This window comes from Homo sapiens, chromosome 14 (assembly GCF_000001405.40).
Source record: "Homo sapiens chromosome 14, GRCh38.p14 Primary Assembly".
Classification (NCBI taxonomy): Eukaryota; Metazoa; Chordata; class Mammalia; order Primates; family Hominidae; genus Homo; species Homo sapiens.
This window is the reverse complement of record NC_000014.9, coordinates 73,969,433-73,990,823: the sequence shown is the minus strand read 5'-3', so window position 1 is coordinate 73,990,823 and position 21,391 is coordinate 73,969,433. Positions and strand designations below refer to the sequence as shown.

At 44.5% G+C, this 21,391-nt stretch overlaps 1 protein-coding gene across 14 annotated transcripts in view; it reads left to right on the top strand.

Moving 5' to 3' along the window:
- Positions 1–21,391, top strand: part of ENTPD5 (ectonucleoside triphosphate diphosphohydrolase 5 (inactive)) — a 63,960-nt gene that overhangs the window by 28,465 nt on the left and 14,104 nt on the right. For 13 of the 14 annotated variants that reach the window (NM_001382258.1, NM_001382262.1, NM_001382260.1 and 10 more), the window contains 12 exons: positions 2,652–2,938; positions 3,931–4,010; positions 7,663–7,806; positions 13,450–13,525; positions 13,765–13,800; positions 14,412–14,500; positions 14,809–14,888; positions 15,839–15,900; positions 16,846–16,947; positions 17,800–17,940; positions 18,916–18,972; positions 20,699–20,814. In NM_001382258.1, coding sequence (NP_001369187.1) covers positions 2,722–2,938; positions 3,931–4,010; positions 7,663–7,806; positions 13,450–13,525; positions 13,765–13,800; positions 14,412–14,500; positions 14,809–14,888; positions 15,839–15,900; positions 16,846–16,947; positions 17,800–17,940; positions 18,916–18,972; positions 20,699–20,814 — 1,200 coding nt within the window. In that variant the 5' untranslated portion in view covers positions 2,652–2,721. The remainder of the gene's footprint in view (positions 1–2,651; positions 2,939–3,930; positions 4,011–7,662; positions 7,807–13,449; positions 13,526–13,764; positions 13,801–14,411; positions 14,501–14,808; positions 14,889–15,838; positions 15,901–16,845; positions 16,948–17,799; positions 17,941–18,915; positions 18,973–20,698; positions 20,815–21,391) is intronic. The other variant, NM_001382263.1, reaches the window with a different exon arrangement.

Below are 21,391 nucleotides of genomic sequence, written 5' to 3'. Positions count from 1 at the left end.
CTCCTGACCTTACATGATCCACCTGCCTCGGCCTCCCAAAGTGCTGAGATTACAGGCATGAGCCACTGCACCCAGCCACAAATGTTTTTTATCACAGGTTTCAATAATATTCAAACTCATGATAATGGCTTTGTTGCAGAATGATGGAAAAAAACCCTATACATTTAAAAAATTATTTTCCAGTAAAACAAATCCGGCTGGGTGAAGTGGCTCATGCCTGGAATCCCAGCACTTTGGGAGGCTGAGGCAGGTGGATCTCAGGCTGAGTTCAAGACCAGCCAGGGCAATATGGCAGAACCCCATCTCTACCAAAATAAAAAAAATAGCCAGGTATGGAGGCACACACGTGTAATCCCAACTACTCGGGAGGCTAAGGAGGAAGGATCACTTGAGCCCGGGAGGTGATGATTGCAGTGAACCGTGATTGTGCCACTGCACTCCAGCCGGGGTGACAGAGTGAGACCCTGTCTCAAAAAAAGATGGGGAGTCAGAAAAGAGGGAGGGAGAAACGGATATTTATGTTCTAAAGGGAAAATCATCAAAATGGAAAGAAGAAATTAGACTCAACAATAGGAGCAGAGTGGCAGAGAGCCTTTGAGTATGTGAGAGCCACCCTACAATTATTATTTTTTATTTTTAGAGACAGGGTCTTGCTTTGTCACCCAGGCTGGAGTGCAATGGCATGATCATAGCTCACTGTAACCTTGAGCTCCTGGACTCAAGTGGTCTTCCTACCTCAGCCTCCCAAGTACCTGGGACTATAGGCATGTGCCACCATACCTGGCTAATTTATTTATTATATTTATTTATTTTTTTTGAGACGAAGTCTTGCTCTGTTGCCCAAGCTGGAATGTAGTGGGGCGATGTCTGCTCACTGGAACCTTAGCTTCCCAGGTTCAAGTGGTTCTCCTGCCTCAGCCTCCTGAGTAGCTGGGATTACAGGCACCTGCCACCAAGCCCGGCTAATTTTTTTTTTTTTTTTTTTTTTTTTGAGACTGAGTCTTGCTGTGTCGCCCAGGCTGGAGTGCAGTGGCACGATCTCGGCTCGCTACAACCTCTGCCTCCCGGGTTCAAGAGATTCTCCTGCCTTAGCCTCCCCAGTAGCTGGGATTATAGGCACCCGCCATCATGCCCAGCTAATTTTTGTATTTTTGTAGAGGCGGGGTTTCACCATGTTGGCCAGGCTGGTCTTGAACTCCTGACCTCAGGTGATCCGCCTGCCTCGGCCTCCCAAAGTGCTGGGATTACAGGCATGAGCCACCGCGCCTGGCCTAATTTTTGTATTTTTAGTAGATACAGGGTTTCACCATGTTGGCCAGGCTGGTCTCAAACTCCTGACCTCAGGTGATCCGCCCGCCTCGGCCTCCCAAAGTACTGGGATTACAGGCATGAGCCACCGCGCCCGGCCTAATTTTTGTATTTTTAGTAGATACAGGGTTTCACCATGTTGGCCAGGCTGGTCTCGAACTCCTGACCTCACGTGATCCACCTGCCTTGGCCTCCCAAAGTGCTGGGATTAGAGGCATGAGCCACTGCGCCTGGCCTGTGTATTTTTTTGTAGAGACAGGGCTCTCGCTATGTTGCCAAAGCTGGTCGTGAACTCCTAGGCTCAAGCAATCCTCCCACCTGAGCCTCCCAAAGTGCTGGAATTATAGGCTGGAGCCACTGTTCCTGGCCCCCACCCTATAATTAAAAGCAAAGTGGCTGGGCGTGGTGGCTTATGCCTGTAATCCCAGCACTTTGGGAGGCCGAGGCGGGTGGATCACGAGGTCAGGAGTTCGAGACCAGCCTGACCAACATGGTGAAACCCCGTCTGTACTAAAAATACAAAAATTAGCTGGGCATGGTGGTGGGTCCCTGTAATCCCAGCTACTCAGGAGGCTGAGGCAGGAGAATCACATGAACCCGGGAGGCAGAGGTTTCAGTGAGCTGAGATTGCGCCACTGCATTCCAGCCTGGGCGACAGAGTGAGAGTCCGTCTCAAAAAAAATAAAATAAAAAAAAGCAAAGGTCATTATGTTAAGTGAAACACGCCAGGCTCAGAAAGATATATACTGCATGTTCTCACTCATATATGGGAGCTAAAAAAGTTGATTTCATGGAAGTAGAATAGAATGACAGTTACCAGAGGGGCTGGGAAGGCTAGTGGGGTGTGGAGAGATTAGGAGAACTTGGTTAATGGGTACAAACTTACAATTAAATAGAAGGAATAAGTTATAGTGTTTGATAGTTCAGTAGGGTGACTATAGTTAACAATATTTTATTGTGTATTTCAAAGTAGCTAGAAGATTTGAAATGTTTCCAACACAAACAATGATAAATGTTGTAATAGATATCCTAGATTCTCTGATTTGATCTTTACACATCGTCTGCATATATCAAAATATCACATGTATTCCATAAATATGTACAATTACTCTGTATTTTTAAAAACCAAAGCATGGGAAAATATATCTTCAATTCCAATTTCCTTTTGGAACTAGATACCCTTCGGAAAAGGTGCTAAGAGCCCACATCACCCTGGTTTAGCTTGTTGTACAGGTTATTAGAATAGGGAAGGAACACCTTGGGCCCAGGAGTGAGTGTTTCTTCTTTTACAGGTGTAACTAAAAAAGCTAGTTGGTCTAACTTGTGTGTCTTTGTCCTATAAGCCTCTGCAGGTGTGCGAGCAGGATTGCTTCTGCAACAAAAGCCTCCACCCAGCCACATCTTGGGAAAAGAATGGCCACTTCTTGGGGCACAGTCTTTTTCATGCTGGTGGTATCCTGTGTTTGCAGCGCTGTCTCCCACAGGAACCAGCAGACTTGGTTTGAGGGTATCTTCCTGTCTTCCATGTGCCCCATCAATGTCAGCGCCAGCACCTTGTATGGAATTATGTTTGATGCAGGGAGCACTGGAACTCGAATTCATGTTTACACCTTTGTGCAGAAAATGCCAGGTAAGTGCAACTGGGACCCTTAGTAGAGTCTGTAAATCCACACTTTAGCATCTCCTCCCAGAAACAAATATGCTGAGAGTTTATTATGTGAATTACAGAATCTCACACCTAGTGGATGTCTTTCTTCAGAGAACTTTGGACTACAATTGAACATGTGGTTTATTTATTTATTTTTATTTATTTGTTTTGTTTTTATTTTTTAACTTTTTTTTTGAGACAAGGTCTTGCTTTGTTGCCCGGTCTGTAGTGCAGTGGCATGATGACACATCACTGCAACCTTGACCTCCTGGGCTCAAGCAGTCCTTCCACCTCAGCCCCCTGAGTTGTTGAGACTACAGGCTTGTGCCACCATGCCCAGCTCATTTTTAAATTTTTTTATAGAGACCTGCTCAGGCTGGCCTCAAACTCCTAGGCTCAATTGATCCTCCCACCTCAGCCTCCCAAAGTACTGGGATTATAGGTGTAAGTCACCATGCTTGGCCAGAACACATGGTTTAATTCAATGTGAAATTAGAAGAGAGCTGGGCTGTCTGTAGTCTGAAACCCATGTGTTCAAAAAGAATAGTTATAATTTGTTCTTCCTCTTTAAACATGGGATACTCCAGGGATCCATAATATTCAGAATATGGGGAGTGGTTTTGGGAGAAGGATCACATGAGAATTTCACTGCCATCCTTGGACATGAGGCTAGGAATCCCTGAAGATTAACTTTTTCTGAATTGTCAGTGTTTTTTCCTCAGGTCACTTATGGAGCCTGGGGAAAGGTGGAGGAGTTAGGTGTCCACCAGAGAAATGGTAGCAGAAATGGACCCTCAGAGGTTGCTCTAGTCCTTCTTTCCAGTACTCCTGCAAGACATTCCTCACAACTAGGATCATTTGGGATAACTTCAGGGAAGTCATAGGAAAACTTACAGAGACAGAGCCCAGCATCTGAAGCAGCCTAACTTTTGGTAACCAGCTCTCTCTTCTGTTTTGTTCCATGGACAAAATAGGACAGCTTCCAATTCTAGAAGGGGAAGTTTTTGATTCTGTGAAGCCAGGACTTTCTGCTTTTGTAGATCAACCTAAGCAGGTGAGTTTCTTATGATTTGATGTTTAGATTCTCAATGCCTTGATAACTTGACCACACCACTGCTGTTAAATATTTCATGCTATTCACTAATGAGATTGAGATCATGTGTGAGATCAGCTTTCTCTCCTCAGCTAATCTCCTGGATAAAATTAATTACATTTCCCACGCTCATGAGGGCTGGGTGGAAGAAGGCTAGAAAATTGGTTGTGGTAATGCAAGGATGACACTAGCTTTTAAGAGATTACTCCCTATGTACTTACTGTTTAAAATTTTGAGTTGAAGCCATCAGTTGTATTTGTTCATGTAAGCGCAGAAGATAAACATGAAGTTCTGTAGGGTATGATGTATAAACATGGCAGTTGAAGGCATGGTGAGCAGTGAATTCCATTTCAGAGTGCCTTGATGCAGGATGGAACCATATCTATACTTGAGAAATTAGGCAACAACCCATGATGACAAAAATCTTTGGTGGTAGAAGATGAATAGAGAGTTTGTGGCGACTATATTTCACATTTGAGCATCTACAACATACTACATCCTATGTGTCTGAGGCCATGTTGAAATAAAATAGAATAATGCAGAATGTTAAACTTGGGGAGCAAATGTAAAGGTATTTATTGTTCATTGTCACAAGAATAATCATTACCCAAATGCTTGATGTTAAAAATGATTTGAGTTTGGAGAACTGAGAGGATATATGGATATATATACATTTTCTTCTTTTTCTTTTTTTTTTTTTTTTTTGACGGAGTATCACTCTGTTACCCAGGCTGGAGTGCAGTGGCCTGATCTCGGCTTACTACAACCTCTGCCTCGCGGGTTCAAGCAATTCTTCTGCCTCAGCCTCCCGAGTAGCTGGGACTACAGGCATGTGCCACCATGCCCGGCTAATTTTTGTATTTTTAGTAGAGACGGGGTTTCACTATGATGGCCAGGCTGGTCTTGAACTCCTGACCTTGTGATCCGCCCATGTCAGCCTCTCAAAGTGCTGGGATTACAGGTGTGAGCCACTGCACCTGGCCCCGAGAGGATATATTTTCTTAGTTCAGTAGCACATGGATAGCAAATCTACTAGAAAAATTTGGAGCTGTTCAAAAGAAACTACCATCAGAGTAAACAGGCAACCTACAGAACGGGAGAAAATTTTTACAATCTACCCACCTGACAAAGGGCTAATATCCAGAATCTGCAAAGAACTTAACAAATTTACAAGAAAAAATCAAACAACCCCATCAAAAAGTGGGCAAAGGATATGAACAGACACTTCTCAAAAGAAGACATTTATGCAGCCAACGGACACATGAAAAAATGCTCATCATCACTGGCCATCAGAGAAATGCAAATCAAAACCACAATGAGACACCATCTCACACCAGTTAGAATGGCGGTCATTAAAAAGTCAGGAAACAACAAGTGCTGGAGAGGATGTGGAGAAATAGGAACACTCTTACACTGTTGGTGGGACTGTAAACTAGTTCAACCATTGTGGAAGACAGCGTGGTGATTCCTCAAGGATCTAGGAATAGAAATACCATTTGACCCAGCCATCCCATTACTCGGTATATACCCAAAGGATTATAAATCATGCTGCTATAAAGACACATGCACACATATGTTTATTGAGGCATCATTCACAATATCAAAGACTTGGAACGAACCCAAATGTCCATCAATGATAGACTAGATTAAGAAAATGTGGCACATATACACCATGGAATACTATGTAGCCATAAAAAAAGGATGAGTTCATGTCCTTTGTAAGGACATGTATGAAGCTGGAAACCATCATTCTGAGCAAACTGTCGCAAGAACAGAAAACCAAACACCGCATGTTCTCACTCATAGGTGGGAATTGAACAATGAGGACACAGGGTGGGGAACATCACACACCGGGGCCTGTCGTGGGGTGGCGGGAGCAGGGAGGGAAAGCATTAGGAGATATACCTAATGTAAATGATGAGTTAATGGGTGCAGCCCACCAACGTGGCACATGTATGCATATGTAACAAACAAACCTGCACATTGTGCACATGTACCCTAGAACTTAAAGTATTAAAAAAAAATACCAGGGTCAGGGGTATATTTGAATAGTAAATAAATAAATTAATTAATTAAAAATAAATAATTAAAAAAGAAAAATTAGGAGCTGTTGAAAGCAACTATATTATTAGAAACTGACTTGGCATTTAGAAAAGGTGATCGTGTTGTAGTTGCTAACAATAATGATCAAAGGGCAGTCAGATATCAGAATAGAAGTTCATTCAGGGAAATAGTGGATTTAAAATAATGGTTTTCATTTATTACAAATTGAGCATCTACTGTGTGCCATATGATGATACAGGAATAAGCCTGACATGTTCTTTAGGAGATCATCAAAAGTATGGCATCATTACTGCCACAGCTTGTGTGGTAACCACATGCACTATGCCTCATGCACACAACAGTTTAGTGGTGGTAGGCAGCGTATCTACCATCCCACACTTGAGGAAACCAAGTCCCAACAAGGCCAAGTGACCTAAGTTAGGCCACAGGGCTAGCAAGCAAGTCTTCTGACTCTAACTCCTGTTTTCTTCACTCTACCATCCTAAAGCTGATTTATATATAAGAAACATGAAATAATCAGCCAGGTGCTGTGGCGCATGCCTGTAATCCCAGCTACTCAGGAGGCTGAGGCAGGAGAATCGCTTGAACCCGGGAGGCAGAGGTTGCAGTGAGCCGAGATTGTGCCGTTGCACTCCAGCCTGGGTAACAAGAGCAAAATTCCGTCTTAAAAAAAAGAAAAAGATAATCAACTAAAATGATCACAATATAAAAGAATAATTTGGCCAGGCACGGTGGCTCATGCTTGTAATCCCAGCACTTTGGGAGGGTGAGGTGGGTGGATCACTTGAGGTCAGGTATTCGAGACCAGCCTGGCCAAGATGGTGACACCCTGTCTCTACTAAAAATACAAAAATTATCTGGGTGTGGTGGCATATGCCTGTAATCCCAGCTACTTGGGTGACTGAGGCACAAGCATCGCTTGAACCTGGGAGGTGGAGGTTGCAGTGAGCCAAGATCACAAGATCATGCCACTGCACTCCAGCCTGGGTGACAGAGCAAGAATGTCCCAAAAAAAATAATAATAATAATAATAATTTTTTATTAGGACTGTCAAAATGAAATGGATTCTCCTTTTTTTTTTTTTTTTGAGATGGAGTGTCACTCTGTTGCGCAGGCTGTAGTGCAGTGGCATAGGCTTGACTCACTGCAACCTCTGCCTCCCAGGTTCAAGCAATGCTCTTGCCTCAGCCTCCCGAGTAGCTGAGACTACAGGTGTGTGCCACCATGCCTGGCTTATTTTTGTATTTTTTAGTGGAGATGGGGTTTCACCATGTTGGTCAGGCTGATCTCAAACTCCTGACCTCAAATGATCCACCCACCTTGGCCTCCCAAAGTTCTGGGATTACAGGTGTGAGACACCACTGCGCCTGGCCTGGATTCTCCTTCAAAGCGGCCCACTTCTCTAGGTTTCTCCTGCTACAGAGCAGAGAGAGGTTGGAGCCCTATGCCACCTCCCTCTTCTTGCTCCCACAAAGTATGTTGACAGAATAGACCAGTGCCAGCCACTAAATGGATCGTTCATCAGATGAACGGGTTATCTCTTTTGAAGGGTGCTGAGACCGTTCAAGGGCTCTTAGAGGTGGCCAAAGACTCAATCCCCCGAAGTCACTGGAAAAAGACCCCAGTGGTCCTAAAGGCAACAGCAGGACTACGCTTACTGCCAGAACACAAAGCCAAGGCTCTGCTCTTTGAGGTAAGTTTTAAAACTGCATCTTGGATCATTCTGCCCTTTTCCCTATATGAATACTTTATGAGTTTTTAGCCTTTTGGAATGTGACCACTACCTTCAGTATTCCACCACTGCCAAAGCATTGTGATGACTCTGACCACTTGTTATAGCTAGTTGTTTACATTTTTAACTATCACTCTTAAATGTATAGAGCTTTTCCTAAAAAATTTAAAGTACTTTCTATCTAGGATATTCTTCATTCTTTTTATTTTTATTTTTATTTTTTGAGATGGAGTCTCACTCTGTCACCCAGGCTGGAGTGCAGTGGCGCCATCTTGGCTCACTGCAAGCTCCACCTCCCAGGTTAATGCCATTCTCCTGCCTCAGCCTCCGGAGTAGCTGGGACTACAGGCACCTGCCACCACACCCGACTAATTTTTTGTATTTTTAGTAGAGACGGGGTTTCACTGCGTTAGCCAGGATGGTCTCGATCTCCTGACCTCGTGATCTGCCCGCCTCAGCCTCCCAAAGTGCTGGAATTACAGGCATGAGCTGCTGCACCTGGCTGATATTCTTCATTCTTTTAGATTTTTAAAGCAGAATCAGAAGTCGTTTCTAATCAACTTTATTAAGATAAACTTACATACAATAAAATATATCTATTTTAGGCTGGGCACGGTGGCTCACACCTGTAATCCCAGCACTTTGGGAGGCTGAGGCAGGTGGATTGCCTGAGGTCAGGAGTTTGAGACCAGCCTGGCTAACATGGTGAAACCTCATCTCTACTAAAAATACAAAAATTAGCTGGGCATTGTGGCGCACGCCTGTAGTCCCAGCTACTCAGGAGGCTGAGGCAGGAGAATCGCTTCAACCCAGGAAGCAGAGGTTCCACTAAGCTGAGATCACACCACTGCACTCCAGCCTGCGCAACAGAGCGAGACTGCATCTCAAAAAACAAACAAACAAAAAATTATATATTTTAGGTGTACAGTTAAATGAGTTTTGACAAGAAATAGAAATTTCCTCATGCTCTTTTATAGTGAGTTTCCCTCACCCCTGAAACCAACCAATCACTAATTTGCTTCCTGTCACTATAAGTTTTGCTTATTCTTTTCATATAAATGGAATTATACAGTTTTTATTTTTATTTTTGTATATCTGGCTTTTTTCCTCTCAGCATAAAGTTTTTGAGAAGAATAATGGAACTTTAAAGTTTGATTTTTTTTTTTTTTTTGGAAACAGAGTCTCACTCTGTCTTCCAAGCTTGAGTGCAGTGGCACGATCTTGGCTCACTGCAACCTCCACCTCCCAGGTTCAAGCAATCCTCCTGCCTTAGCCTCCCAGTTAACTGAGATTACAGTTATGTGCCACCACACCCGGCTAATTTTTATAAATTTTTTTGTAGACATAGGGTTTCACCATGTTGCCCAGGCTTGGTTTCAAACTCCTGAGCTCAGGCAGTCCACCTTCCTTGGCCTCCCAAAGTGCTAGGATTATAGGAACAGGCATGAGCCACCACGCCTGGTGAAGTCATATATATATATATACATTTTTTTTTTCTGTTACCCAGACTGGAGTGCAGTGGCACAATGTTGGCTCACTGCAACCTCCGCCTCCCAGGTTCAAGCAATTCTTCTGCCACAGCCTCCAGAGTAGTTGGGATTATAGGCATGCACCACCACGCCTGGCTAATTTTTGTATTTTTAATGGAGACAGGGTTTCACCATGTTGGCCAGGCTGGTCTCAAACTCCTGGCCTCAAACTCCACCCACCCCGGCTTCCCAAAGTGCTGGGATTACAGACGTGAGCCACTGCACCCGGCCCTAAGTCATATATTTCAACTCCCTTCTTATTCAGATCAAAAATTTAAGTATAGAGAGTTTTGTTAAATTCAGTATTTTTATTTTTATTCTTATTTATTTATTTATTTATTTATTTTTTGAGAGGCGGAGACTTGCTCTGTCGCCCAGGCTGGAGTGCAGTAGTGCGACCTCAGGTCACTACAACCTCTGCCTCCCAGATTCAAGCGATTCTCCTGCCTCAGCTTCCCGAGTAGCTGGGACTACAGGCGTGCGCCACCACTCCCAGCTAATTTTTGTATATTTTAGTAGAGATGGGGTTTCGCCATGTTGGTCAGGCTGGTCTCAAACTCCTGACCTAAGGTGATCTGCCCGCCTCAGCCTCCCAAAGTACTGGGATTACAGGCATGAGCCATTGTGCCCAGCCAAACTCAGTATTTTTAAATTTTATTGTATATATTTGTTATGCAATAAACATGTAAGTTAATAAAATTTAAATTTCATGTTGTGAAGAATATAAGCAGAATCTCATTATAACAAAAAATCAGGCTCGGTGCAGTGGCTCATGCCTGTAATCTCAACATTTTGGGAGGCCAAAGCAGGAGGATTGCTTGAGGCCAGGAATTTGAGACCAGTCCAGACAACAAAGCAAGACCCCTATTTCTACAAAAAAAATTAAGTCCCGGTGTGGTAGCTCATGCCCAAAATCCCAGCTCTATGGGAGGCCAAGGCGGGCAGATCACCTGAGGTCAGGAGTTTGAGACCAGCCTGGCCAACATGGTGAAACCCCGTCTCTACTGAAAATACAAAAATTAGCTGGGCATGGTGGCTCACGCCTGTTGGTCAACTACTCAGGAGGCTAAGGCAGGAGAATTGCTTGAACTTGGGAGGCGGAGCTTGCAGTGAGCCGAGATCACGCCACTGCACTCCAGCCTGGGCAACAGAGCGAGACTCTGTCTCAAAAAAAAAAAAAGATTGAAACTGAAAATCATAGTAGGCCAGGCGCGGTGGCTCATGCCTGTAATCCCAACACTTTGGGAGGCCGAGGCGGGCGGATCACCTGAGGTCAGGAGTTCAAGACCAGCCTGGCCAACATGGTGAAACCCTGTCTCTAATAAAAATACAAAAATTAGCTGGGCATGGTGGCAGGCATCTGTAATCCCAGCTACTGGGGAGGCTGAGGCAGGAGAATTACTTGAACCTGGGAGGCAGAGGTTGCAGTGAACCAAGATCGTGCCATTGCACTCCAGCCTGGGTGACAAGAGTGAAACTCTGTCTCAAAAAAAAAAAAAAAAAAAATCATGGCAAAAAAGGACTCTGTATTACAGGCCCTAAATCCATTTTCCTTTGACTGTCAGTACAGAGGACTTAAGTCACTTATCCAAGGATGAGCAGCCTAATATGTCTCTGTGAGAACCTGAATCCTGATTCCTGATTTATTCCTCATTTATTCAACATAAGAGTGCTTACTGGGCCAGGTGCAGTGGCTTACGCCTGTAATCCCAGCACTTTGGGAGGCCAAGGCGGGTGGATCACGAGGTTAGGAGATCGAGACCATCCTGGCTAACACGGTGAAACCCCGTCTCTACTAAAAATACACAAAATTAGCCAGGCGTGGTGGTAGGCACCTGTAGTCCCAGCTACTCGGGAGGCTGAGGCAGGAGAATGGTGTGAACCCGGGAGGCAGAGGCTGCAGTGAGCTGAGATGGCGCCACTGCACTCCAGCCTGGGTGACAGAGCAAGATTCTGTCTCAAAAAAAAAAAAAAAAAGTGCTTACTATGTACTGGGTACTGGTGAAGTTACTGGAATACATTCAGCAGGGAACCAAAAATACAAAAATGGTCTTTGCACTCCTGTAGCTTACATTCTACTTCAGGAAGACAGAAAATAAACATCTGAACAAGTCAAAAGAAAGTTATGTTAGGTTCTGCAGGTGCTATGGAGGGAAAAAAAAAAAGCAGGGAAAGGCAGGTAGGGAATCTGTTGATAGTGTGGGGGAAATGCTATTTTAAATAGGACAGTCAGGGAAGAAGTCTTTGATAAAATTCAGTTGATCAGAGATCTTAGGGGGATGAAGAAGCAAGTTACACAAGACATTTGTGGGAAGAATATTCCAGGCTAAAGAAACAGCAGGTGCAAAGGCCAGAGGCAGGTATGTGCTTGGTATGTTAGGAACAGCATCCAGGAGGTCAGCATAGCTGGAGAGGAAAGAGCGATATGAGAGGTAAGGAGGCGGTAACCTCAGAGAGGCAGGGTTAAGGGGTGTTTATCATGTAGGATCTCAAATGCCAGTGTAATCACTTTGGCTTTTTCTTTTTCTTTTTTCTTTTTGAGACTGAATTTTGCTCTTGTTGCCCAGGACGGAGTGCAATGGCGCTATCTCTGTTCACTGCAACCTCCACCTCCTGGGTTCAAGTGATTCTTCTGCCTCAGCCACCCAAGTAGCTAGGATTACAGGCATGCGCCATCATGCCCGGCTAATATTCTATTTTTAGTATAGATGGGTTTTCACCATGTTGGTCAGGCTGGTCTCAAACTCCTGACTTCAGGTGATCCGCCCGCACTTTGGCTTTTTCTATAAGAAGGAAGCCACTGGAAGGTTTTTTGTTTTTTGGCGTTTTGTTTTGTTTTGTTTTGTTTGAGACAGAGTCTCACTCTTGTTACCCAGGCTAGAGTGCAATGGCGCGATCTCGGCTCACTGCAACCTCCACCTCCTGGGTTCAAGCGATTCTCCTACCTCAGCCTCCCAGGTAGCTGGGATTACAGGTGCCCACCACCATGCTAATTTTTTTGTATTTTTAGTAGAGATGGGGTTTCATCATGTTGGCCAGGCCGGTCTCGAACTCCTGACCTCAGGTGATCCACCTGCCTCGGCCTCCAAAAGTGCTGGGATGAGAGGTATGAGCCACCATGCCCGGCTGCCACTGGAAGGTTTTGAGCCAAGGAAACACATGATTTGACGTCCATTTTTAAAGCACCGTTCTGGCTGCTGTTTTGAGAACAAACTGTAGGATGGGGGAGAAAAGTGGAGAAGGCAAGAGCAGAAGCTCTCTTGCTGTGCTTCATCCTGTTCACTTATCTGTCTTTAAAAGTTTGTTTATATATAACTTAACTGGTTTTTCCTGGTTGAAACAGGATCCAGAGGTCATTATGTGGTATGTTTCATCCATCAGAAATGAGAACAGCAAACAGACTAGCGTTCTTCCTATCCTATTTGGAGAATTCTTTTTTCTTTCCCTTGATAATTATATAAACATAAGACATTAACACCCATATCAATGGTCTGTATTATGGAGAGGCAAGATGTTTTTGCAAGATCGTCATTCCCATCTCCTGAAACAGGATTCCTTAAGTCTAGATCTGGAGTCTCCCCATGCTCTAGAGACCCTAGCCATGTGCCAGAATCTGACAGGAGCTGGTAGCAGAGTACCTCAGCCCTTAGGTGTGAACTTCACCACAGCAGGTTCATGTCAGCTCATCTAAGGAATGGAGTGGGAAGGCTCCTCCTAGTTTCCAGTGTATGTCCAGGTAGAGTTTATCAGGTTTAAAAAGTTACAGGATCCTGATTTGAGCTGGCAGGGTTAAATATATGCCTTTCCATAGGTCCAGTTCACCTATACATTTAGATGGTTTGGTTTAGCTTTACTTAAAGTCAAAGGAATCTCTGTGTTTGTGTTTTTGCAAGAAACTGGTAATGGCTTGCCTAGTTTCTTCTCTAGTTTCTTAGGGCAAAGGAATGAGTTTTGCCAAAATTTTATCTAGGAAAAATGGAGTAGTTTTCTAAGTCTTACAGGACACTGTCAAAATATGGAAATCTATTTTATTGCCTTAGGGAATTCTTTTTTTTTTTTTTTCCTTTTTCTCTAGGTAAAGGAGATCTTCAGGAAGTCACCTTTCCTGGTACCAAAGGGCAGTGTTAGCATCATGGATGGATCCGACGAAGGTGGGAGAGGTGTTGATATGCGTTCCAGGGGGAGAGGGGCAGGATCAGTGAAAGATCTAACTAAAGGAACTGGGGCCAGGAATAAACAGAAGGAATGAGATAGCAGGAAATAGAAGACAGGGAGAAGGGAACATGTGCTCTAGACATGGAATTTAGAGAGGAAAAAAAAAAAACAAGGTTGGGGCCAGGAAAGAGAAAAAATGCTCTGGGATCTAATCCTTGTCTTTCTTTCTTTTTAGGCATATTAGCTTGGGTTACTGTGAATTTTCTGACAGGTAATACATCCTCAAGTTTATCTTTAGAGCTTAACTAGCTTTTACATGCATAGTCAGAGGAGTAAAAGCCTTTTCTTTCATTCTGTATTGTTTCTTCTTCTTTAAAAAAGGAAAAGAGGCTGGGTGTGGCAGTTCATGCCTGTTAATTCCAGCGCTTTGGGAGGCTGAGTTGGGCAGATCACTTGAGGCCAGGAGTTCAAGACCAGCCTGGCCAACATGGCGAAACTCCGTCTCTACCAAAAATACAAAAATAGCTGGGCATGGTGGTGTGTACCTGTAGTCCCAGCTACTCAGGAGGCTGGAGAATCACTTGAACCCAGGAGGCAGAGGTTGCAGTGAGCTGAGAGCCGAGATTGCGCCACTGCACTCCAGGCTGGATGATAGAGCAAGACTCTGTCTCCAAAAAGGCCTTCCAAAAAAAAAAAAAACACCTGCCTTGAAGGCCTCTGCTGCAACAAGAGTCCTTCCGAGTTGACATTCACCTGCAGCCTTGGGGCTGGGGAGCAGTGGAGTATGTATGGAATACCTTCAGTGTATGATAAGAGCAAGAGAGACAAGTGTTGGGCTGCCCAGGATGTCGAGGCTATTTAGAGCTGGCTCTCATTTGACAGGTCAGCTGCATGGCCACAGACAGGAGACTGTGGGGACCTTGGACCTAGGGGGAGCCTCCACCCAAATCACGTTCCTGCCCCAGTTTGAGGTGAGTCATTTAATGAAGATCTGGTTAGAAGTGCACTTGGCAGGCGTATCATGGTGCCAAGAAAGAGGCGCCCCATTTTCAGCCAGCAGCTCTACCACGCTTAGGCAGAGTCAAGTCAATTAATAACTAGGTGAATGTTCCCTTGCCATCTCACTGTTCAGAATCCCTTCGTTTCCTCAAGCCTAGTGAGATTAGCCCCTTAATCTGTCTTCATCTCTGATTTTTTGCTGGGAGGGACGGGTGGTGGTGTGAACATCTTCAGGTAATTACAGATCCTGAATAGTCTTTTTGCTTTTTCTGATTTGCAGAAAACTCTGGAACAAACTCCTAGGGGCTACCTCACTTCCTTTGAGATGTTTAACAGCACTTATAAGCTCTATACACATAGGTGAGGACGGGGACAGGGAAGAAGAATATTTCATGTTGTATGATTCTCCTAACTTTCCAAAGCATTCTCAAATCTGTTATTGTATCTGATTAGCAAAAACAAAGTCTGTGCCAATTCCCTAAGGCCTATCAACTGAAACCCGGTCCACTTACAAAGCCGGAGGAGCCTAAGAGGCTTCTCCATTCTTGGCCTCAAAAGCATTAATATATGACTTAAGAGTCAAAAGTTTTCGGCTGGGTGCAGTGGCTTCATGCCTGTAATCCCTGCACTTTGGGAGGCCGAGGTGGGTGGGTCACCTGAGGTCAGGCGTTTGAGACCAGCCTGGCAAACATGGTGAAACCCCGTCTCTACTAAAATACAAAAATTAGCTGGATATGACAGCGCACACCTGTAATCCTAGCTATTCAGGAGGCTGAGGCAGGAGAATCATTTGAACCCTGGAGGCGGAGATTGCAGTGAGCCGAGATCACACCACTGCACTTCAGCCGGAGCGACAGAGCAAGACTCAGTCTCAAAAAAAAAAAAAAAAAAAGAATCAAAAGCTTTCTGTAGGGAGAGGACACTTCAAGAAGGCTCAGGCAAAGCTCCTTGCCAGCTCCTTTGAGCTGGCCTTCAGAGGTTCAGAATCCAGCCTGGAATGTGATCCCAGTTGGGGCTAGGAGCTAAGCTAAAGAGAGCTTTTCTGGGAATGGTTCCTAGTGTGGGACCCTAGGAATTGTCACTGTCTCTGGCCTTTGAATGATAACTGTGGGGAATTCTTACTGCATAGCCTTGATCCAAACTGTGCAGAAATTACCCCTTGTTGACCACAGGAGATGAATATGTCACAGACAGAACAAGGTTTTCATCTTTCCAGAGGGACACAGGAACAATGTTACTTTTGAAAGAGGTAGCTTTAGGCTAGAGAACTTCAGGACCAGCATGAAATTAGTCAATCCTGTATTTTACAGTTACCTGGGATTTGGATTGAAAGCTGCAAGACTAGCAACCCTGGGAGCCCTGGAGACAGAAGGTTTGTCTGGGTACCTGTGCTGGGGGGGGATGGTGAGGGTGACACAGATACTCCGCTTGCTTCTTCCCTTCCTTGATAGCCATTCTATGAAGGAAAAGATTATGTTGAATTGGGAGGCAAATGTTGTATAATGGACCTAATAATGGCAAACTCCTTTTCTAGTTTATAAGTTCAGAAGTTTTGATGTATATTATTAGCCATTTTTAGAATGAGGTCTACTTGTTCAGGGGTAACAGCCTATGTCTAGGCAGCTGAAGTGTCTGCAGAAATCCCAGGCTTTACGAATACATTCAGCAGGAGCTTGCTCAAGCCCTGAGCTTTACATTGGAGGCACAGGAAGCAGAGTCTGTTCTACATGCAGGTGGAACAACAGAGTAACTCCATTGATCTCTTCACAGGTCAGGCAGAACTGGGTTCAGTCCCAGTGTTGTGATATGAGGCAAGTAACCTATCTGTGCCCCTTTCCTCACATTAAATGAGAATTTGCATTTAAGGCACTTTGTACAGTAATCTGTTATTGGGATGACATCTATTTTGCATTTCAGAGTATACAAAACATCTTCAAGTATATTTAATTGAAGCCTCTCAGCAACCAGTGAGGAAGGTAGCATAGCATTTCTTTCCTGTTTTTATAAAGGTGGAAAGTTGCTGTATTGAAGGTTTTGGATCTCTTTGAGATGTGATGAAAGCCATGGACCCCTCTGACAAAAGCACATATGCATGAAAATTTGCTTCTGGTTTCAGGGGGTTCACCAACCCCACAAAGCCTATCTTTGAACCCTGAGTTAAGGATTCCTGTCACAGGATGTTGTCATGGAATTAATTTCATAGGATTTTAAGGCCCAGCCCCCATGGTGATTCTTTTCCACCTCACTGGCTTCTTGCTTGCCTTCCTCCCTCTCTCTCACTTACTTACCTCTTACCTTGTGCCCTGGATTCTTTCAGGGACTGATGGGCACACTTTCCGGAGTGCCTGTTTACCGAGATGGTTGGAAGCAGAGTGGATCTTTGGGGGTGTGAAATACCAGTATGGTGGCAACCAAGAAGGCAAGTGATGTTTTTTCACTGGTTAAAGTTACGTTTACAATGGAAGCTCTGGAAAAGTCCCATGGGAAACTTTTTCCAGAACTCAAGAGAAGCTTATCTTGTTGCAGGGACTTATTCCAAAGATCTTGGCATGCCTCCAAGGACTAATGTGAAGTGACAGTGAACAAAGCAGCTGTCATTCTGCATCAGCCAAGTGTCATGGACCCATTAGATACCTGCCCTTAGCCAAGTGCTGTGGTGCACATCTATTGTCCTAGCTACTCCAAAGGTTGAGGCAAGAGGATCACTTGAGCCCATGAGTTCAAGGCTATAGTGCGCAATGCCACTGCACTCCAGCCTGGGCAACAGGGAGACCCTACCTCTTACAAATTAATTAAGAAGCATATTCTAAGCCTAGGTCTAATGCAGCAGTGTGAAAGCCTGTTTAGTTAATGGTTAGCTATTTAAATTATAGTAAAACTTAAAACCAAGACAAGAATGATTCATCTTCTTATAAAAGGTATATACCTGAATATCAAGGAATGAACCTGAATTCCCAGTGAAGGAAGCAGGCGAGCCCTTTAGCTACTTGCTTACAAATGCTATGGAATGTAATGCTAGGCAGCAGCACAAGGTTGGCCATGATCTGGTGAATACAGATTAGGCAGGAGAGCGGCCATGGAGAAACAGACTGGTGAGGCTGCAGACGTTTGCTCATCTTTGTTTTGACGCCTCTTGTCCCAAGCCTCAGCCTTCTCCTGCTTTCCTTGACCTTCCTGCTGTTCCCTCATTGTCTCCAGCAGCCTGCCTCAGAGAGTGTCCCCTTCCCCCAGCGTCGTTCTCACCTTACCCCTGTGCACCTTTGCCTGGCAGGGGAGGTGGGCTTTGAGCCCTGCTATGCCGAAGTGCTGAGGGTGGTACGAGGAAAACTTCACCAGCCAGAGGAGGTCCAGAGAGGTTCCTTCTATGCTTTCTCTTACTATTATGACCGAGCTGTTGACACAGACATGATTGGTGAGTTCACCCCAGGTGTCAGTCCAGAGAGGAAGGTGGATAGGGCTGTGGTGGGGAAGGTCAAGGAGAAAGAGCACTTGAGGTGCTTTGTCGGGGTGATTACCCACCTCTTTTCTAGTCACTCGAACAAAAGGGTGGAAATGACTTAGAGTCTTTTGGAGGTGAGAGATGACCAAAACAACTATATGAGGTCTTTTTTTTTTTAACATGTTTATTGAGGTATAATTGGCATACAATAAGTGCACATTTAAAGTATACAATTTAAGTTTTGTCATGTATACACCCATGAATCCATCAGCACATTGAAGATAATAAACATATTCACCACAAAAAGTTTCCTCCTGTCTCTTTATAACTTTTCTTCTTATCACAAAAGCAGTGTTTTTGCCTAACTGTGAAAGTATATGTACCTGATCTGTCATGGCCTGAGAGAGATGAATTAATTTCCTATTATTGTGGGGGTTTTGTTGTTGTTGTTGTTTTGGTTTTTTGTTTGTTTGTTTGTTTTTTGAGACAGAGTCTCACTCTGTTACCCAGGCTGGAGTGCAATGGCATGATCTAGGCTCACTGCAACCTCTGCCTCCCGGGTTCAACCGATTCTCCTGCCCCAGTCTCCTGAGTAGCTGGGATTACAGGTGCCTGCCACCACACCCGGCTAATTTTTTTTTTAATAGAGACGAGGTTTCACCATGTTGGTCAGGCTGGTCTTGAACTCCTGACCTCGTTATCTGCCTTCCTCGGCCTCCCAAAGTGCTGGGATTACAGGCATGAGCCACCACACCCGGCCTATTGTGTTTTATGGGTCTGTTTTTTCCATTGTGGTTAAATATACATAACATGGAATAGATTGTAAATAAGTAAATTAGGTTGCATAGATTACATTATGTACATGTGTATATAATGAATGAATGAATGAATTTCCTTATGCTTCCTTGAAGGCGTTTTGATATCAGATAATCTTCTGTTTTATTTCAGATTATGAAAAGGGGGGTATTTTAAAAGTTGAAGATTTTGAAAGAAAAGCCAGGGAAGGTAAGTGTCAGGGGAAGCCCTTGAAGGTAAGCCTGTGAGACTGCCTGCCTACTCTAGTGACCTAAAGTGACCTAAAGCACCTCAGTCAGCTCAGAAGGCCTATCAGAAGGCTAGTTTCCTTTCTGAGTCTTCCAGTCTTTGCTAAAAGTTAAAAGCATTGGGTGGTAGCCAGGCATGGTGGCACGCATCTGTAGTCCCAGCTACTCAGGGCGGGAGGATTGCTTGAGGCCAGAAATTCAAGGTTATAGTGCACTATAATCACACCTGTGAACAGTCACTGCATTGCAGCTTAGGCAACATAGTGAGACCTCTGTCTCTAAAAAAATAAATTTTTTTTCAGCTTTATGCAGCATAGAATTATGGGCAAGAATATGGGAATACAAGAGGTTTTAGGAGGCCGGGCACGGTGGCTCACGCCTGTAATCCCAGCATTTTGGGAGGCCAAGGTGGGCGGATCACCTGAGGTCAGGAGTTCAAGACAGCCTGGCCAACATGGTGAAACCCCATCTCTACTAAAAATACAAAAATTAGCCAAGGAAGGTGGCAGGCGCCTGTAATCCCAGCTACTCGGGAGGCTGAGGTAGGAGAATCGCTTGAACCTGGGAGGCAGAGGTTGTAGTGAGCCAAGGTTGTGCCACTGCACTCCAGCCTGAGCAACAGAGTGAGACTCCACCTCAAAAAAAAAAAAACAAAGAGGCTTTAGGGCTTTAGGGAAATGGTGAAGACCTTTTTTTTCCTTCTACATTTCTTGCTTTCTTTTTTAAATTGAAATAGTGTTATCAGTGTTAATGAAACACTAAGCATCAAAAGACATGGTAAATAGCCACAGAGGCTTCCTTGAGAGGATCAAAACTACCAAGAGAGCTAGGCACAGTGGTTCGACCTGTAGTCTCAGCTACTTGGGAGGCTGAGGCAGGAGGATCGTGTGAACCCAGGAGCTTGAGGCTGCAGGGAGCTGTGATCATGCCACTGCACTCCACCCTGGGTGACAGCATGAGACCTTGTCTCTAAAAAAAAAAATTAATAAAAAGTTTTTAAAAATTAAAAAATAAAATACAAATGATCTTATCGAGTAGCCCACAGTAGGGTTAAATGATATTTCCCTGTCTTCTGGGCCTCACCATTAATAATAGATAAGGGATTTAGAACTAAGCCCCCACAATAGGTCATAGAAACTTAGCAAATAAACTAGAGCCCATGTAAATGTGAATAGATAATCATACCAGAGATGTGCAAGTTCTTCAGAAGCTGCGGTCTTACAGAGGCAGTCAGTGCAGTCTAGTCTCTGAGATGCCTAAGCATTAACCAAAGGGAGACTTCTGCTTTGCTTATTCTTCTTCTCCCCCTACCTTTTTTTTTTGAGACAGAGTCTTGCTCTGTCACCCAGGCTGGAGTGCAGTGGTGAGATCTCGGCTCACTGCAACCTCTGCCTTCCAGGTTCAAGCGATTCTCCTGCCTCAGCCTCCCGAGTAGCTGGGATTACAGCGGTACACCACCACGCCCTGCTAATTTTTGTATTTTTAGTAGAGATGGGGTTTCACCACGTTGGCCAGGCTGATCTCAAACTCCTGACCTCAGGTGATCCACCCGCCTCAGCCTCCCAAAGTGCTAGGATTACAGGCGTGAGCCACCGCGCCTGGCCCCTATTCCACTTCTTTCTAAGAGAAAATCCTACACCTCTCAGTTAGTTGCAAACTTGAGCTCCACTGTTTACTCTCTCTTTCAGTGTGTGATAACTTGGAAAACTTCACCTCAGGCAGTCCTTTCCTGTGCATGGATCTCAGCTACATCACAGCCCTGTTAAAGGATGGCTTTGGCTTTGCAGACAGCACAGTCTTACAGGTAAGAGACAGGACACCAGAGTCTCATAACAGCCCTCTTTTGTGGGGGTTGAGAAGGAGTAAGAGCTTGTTCAGTAATCAGAGTAGCTAGAAGTGAAATTATGAGGTATTTTTGTTTGGGCTATGGACAAGGTACTGTGCTGGGCACCATGAATGTGGGAAATTATCTCAATGCAATGGTAGCCTCCGAGTGTATTACCAGGCAAGCTATCGCACAGGTCACAGAACAGAAAGACTAGCAGCCCAAATTAAGATGCCAAGTCACATGGTTTATTTATTTATTTATTTATTTATTATTATTTTTTTGAGATGGAGTCTCGCTCTTGTTTCCTGGGCTGGAGTGCAATGGCATGATCTCAGCTCACTGCAACCTTCGCCTCCTGGGTTCAAGCGATTCTTCTGCCTCAGCCTCCCAAGTAGCTGGGATTACAGGCATGCGCCACCACTCCTGGCTAATTTTTTTGTATTTTTATTGGAGATGGGGTTTCACTATGTTGGCCAGGCTGGTCTCGAACTCCTGAGAACTCCTGACCTCAGGTGATCCGCCCACCTCGAACTCCCAAGTGCTGGGATTACAG